Raw genomic sequence first — 3678 nt, forward strand, 5'->3', positions numbered from 1 at the left:
AAGGCTGAGGCAGGAGAATTGTTTGAACCCAAGAGGCAGAGGACGCAGTAAGCCAAAATCATGCCACTGCACTCCAGCCTGGGCAACAGAGCAAAGCTATCAAAAAAAAAAAAATCCCAAATCCTTAAAAGTGGTAGAGAAAAGCCAGAAAAGAATCTTCAGAGTGATATAAAGTGAGGATTTGACCTGCTACTGCTGGCTTTGAAAATGGAGGCAGGGGCCACAGACCAAAGAATGTAGGCAGCCGCTAGAAGCTGGAAATGGTGAGGAAACCGATTATCCCCTAGAGCCTCTAGAAAGGAATGCATCCCTGCCAACCCCTTGATTTTAGTCCAGTGAAGCCCATGGCTGACTTCTGAACCACAAAACTCACATTTCAAGTGCAGGAACAAATTTGGGTGAGGGTAAGAGTTAGGGTTAGAATCAGGTTAAGGTTAGGTACAGGGTGAGGGTAAGGGTCAAGCTCAAGTTGAGGGTCAGAGGGTGAGAATGGGTGTGCGATTTGATGTCAGGTTCAGGTTCATGGTCAGTGTCTATGTGAGAGAGTCAAGGTCAGTATGAAAGTAAGAACCAGGTGAGTGTCAGGCTCAGGGTCAAAGTCAGTGTCAAATTATGTCAGTTTGACATCGAGGTCAGAATTATTGCGAGGGTCAGGCTCGCAATAGCCTGAGAGAAAGTGAGGGTCAGAGTAAGGGTCCTATTCAGAGTGAGGAAAATCATCAGGTTCAAGGTAAAAGTCAAGATCAGAGTCAGGGGCATGGTGAGGGTCAGGGTCATGATCAAGTTCTAATGAGGTTCAGTATCAGTGATAGAGTGGAGCTCACAGTCAAGGTCAGAGTGAGGGTAAGGGTCAGAACACATTCATGTCAGGATGAAGATTAGAAGGGTCAGGCTAATGACCAACTCGTGCGTAGGGTTGGGATCAGCATGAAGGTTAGGGTCTGATTAAGCAGAAGCTGAGAGTGAGGAAAAAGGTGAGATGAGTTCAGGGTCAAGCTGAGTTCAGGATCTGGTTGAGAGTCAAAATCAGTCATGATCTACACATGGATTATGGTCAGGTTGAGAATCTTGTTCAGGCCAGGGTCAGGGTCCAGGGGGAGTCCTAGGGCCTGAATGACAACCAGTGTCAGCATTGCTGAGTGTGAGAATCAGGTCAAGGGCAGGGTTAGATCAGCATGAGAGATAGGGCCAAGATCAGGGCCAGAATCTGGGTTAGGGATGAGTGGGAGTCAGATTTACATGACTTCCAGGTTTATGGTCAATGTCATGATAGGCATCTGGGTGAGAGTCATGGTCAGAGTCAAAGTGAGTATCAGTACTAGAGTTAGGATGAGGTCAGGGTTAGTCATTGATATGGTTTGGCTGTGTCCCCAGCCAAATCTCATCTTGAATTGTAACTCCCATAATTCCCATATGTTGTGGGAGGGACCAGGGGAGATAATTGAATCATGGGGGCAGTTTCCTCCATACTGTTCTCGTGGTAGTGAATAATTCTCACGAGATCTGATGGGTTTATAAAGGGTAATCCCTTTTGCTTCGTTATTATTCTCTCTTGCCTGTTGCTGTGTAAGACGTGCCTTTTGCCTTCCACCATGATTGTGAGGCCTCCCCAGCCACGTGGAACTGTAAGTCCATTAAACCTCTTTTTCTTTATAAATTACCCAGTCTTGGGTATGTCTTCATCAGCAGTGTGAAGACAGACTCATATAGTACATTGGTACCAGTATAGTGGAGTGCTGCTGTAAAGATACCCGAAAATGTGGAAACGACTTTGGAACCAGGTAACAGGAACAGGTTGGAACAGTTTGGAGGGCTCAGACAAAGGAAAAAGTGAGAAAGTTTGGAACTTCATAGAGACTTGTTGAATGGCTTTGACCAAAATGCTGATAATGATATGGACAATGAAATCCAGGCTGAGGTGGTCTCAGATGCAGATGAGGAACTTGTTGGGAGCTGGAGTAAAGGTGACTCTTGCTATGTTTTAGCAAAGAGACTGGAGGCATTTTGTCCCTGTGCTAGAGATTTGTGGAACTTTGAACTTGAGGGAGATGATTTAGGGTACCCAGCGGAAGAAATTTCTAAGCAGCAAAGCATTCAAATGTGACTTAGGTGCTGTTATAAGCATTCAATTTTAAAAGAGAAACAGAGCATAAAAATTGAGAAAATTTGAGGCCGGACAATGTAATAGGATAGAAAATAACCCCCCACCTTTTTTTTTTGAGACAGAGTCTTGCTCTGTCACCCAGGATGAAGTGCAGTGGCACCATCTCGGCTCATTGCAACCTCCGCCTCCCAGGTTCAATTAATTCTCCTGCCTCAGCCTCCCGAGTAGCTGGAATTACAAGTGCCTGCCACCACACACAGCTAATTTTTGTATTTTTAGTAGAGATGGGGTTTCACCATGTTGGCCAGGCCGGTCCCGAACCTCTGCCCTCAAGTGATCTGCCTGCCTCAGCCTCCCAAAGTGCTGGGATTACAGGCATGAGCCACCATGCCTGGCCTTTTTTTCTTTTTTTTTTTTTTTTGAGACGGAGTTTCTCTCTTGTCACCCAGGCTGGAGTGCAATGGTGCGATCTTGGCTGACTGCAAACACTGCCTCCCAGGCTCAACCAATTCTCCTGCCTCATCCTCCCAAGTAGCTGGGATTATAGGCGCCTGCCACCACGCCTAGTTAATTTTTATATTTTTAGTACAGATGGGTTTTCATCATGTTGGCCAGGCTGGTCTTGAACTCCTGACCTCAGGTGATCCACCTGCCTTGGCCTCCCAAAGTGCTGGGAGTGAGCCACCACACCCAGCTGAAAAGTACAGGGGTGAGACACCATGCCCAGCTGAAAAACCCATTTTCTGAGGAGAAATTCAAACCAGCTGCAGAAATTTGCATAAGTAACTAGGAGCTAAATGTTCATTGCCAAGACAATGGGGAAAATGTCCCCAGGGCATGTCAGAGACCATTGCAGCAGCCCCTTCCATCACAGGCCCAGAGGCCTAGGGAAAAAAAATGATTTTGTGGGCCGGGCCCAGGGCCCCCCTGCTATGTGCAGCATAGGGACTTGGTGCCCTGCATCCCAGCTGCTCTAGCTATGGCTAAAAGGGACCGAGGTACATCTTGGGCCATGGCTTCAAAGCATGCAAGCTCCAAACCTTGGCAGCTTTCATGTGGTATTGAGCCTGCATGTACACAGAAGTCAAGAATTGAGGTTTAGGAACCTGTGCCTAGATTTCAGAGGACATATGGAAATGGCTGGATGTCCAGGCAGAAGTTGGCTACAGGGGCGATGCCTTCATGGAGAGCCTCTGCTAGGGCAGTGTGGATTGGAAATGGATTGGAGCCCCCACACAGAGTCCCCATTGGGGCACTGCCTAGTGGAGCTGTGAGTAGAGGGCCACCATCCTCCAGACCCCAGAATGGTAGATGCACCAACATCTTGCACTGTGTGCTTGGAAAAGCTGCATTCAATGATCATTCTGGAGCTTTAATATTTGACTGTCCCACTGGATTTCGGACTTGCATGAGGTCTTTAGCCCCTGTGTTTTGGCCAATTTCTCCCATTTGGAATGGCTGTATTTATCCAATGTCTGTACCCTCATTGTATGGGGTACATTCTAGGAAGTAACTAACTTGCTTTTTATTTTACAGGCTTATAGATGGAAGGGACTTGCCTTGTCTCAGTTGAG

The 3678-nt window shown here is 47.1% G+C and overlaps 1 annotated feature.

The window, feature by feature from the left end:
* Positions 1983 to 2152: an enhancer, noted in NCBI's record as "experimental_99190 CRE fragment used in MPRA reporter constructs". NCBI's record gives its function as "activates a minimal promoter by MPRAs in K562 erythroleukemia cells, with activity observed for both the introgressed and non-introgressed 7:43897567 variant alleles {active_cell/tissue: K562}" and the evidence as "EXISTENCE:reporter gene assay evidence [ECO:0000049][PMID:34662402]".

Source organism: Homo sapiens, chromosome 7 (genome assembly GCF_000001405.40).
Source record: "Homo sapiens chromosome 7, GRCh38.p14 Primary Assembly".
In the NCBI taxonomy this organism is placed as follows: domain Eukaryota; kingdom Metazoa; phylum Chordata; class Mammalia; order Primates; family Hominidae; genus Homo; species Homo sapiens.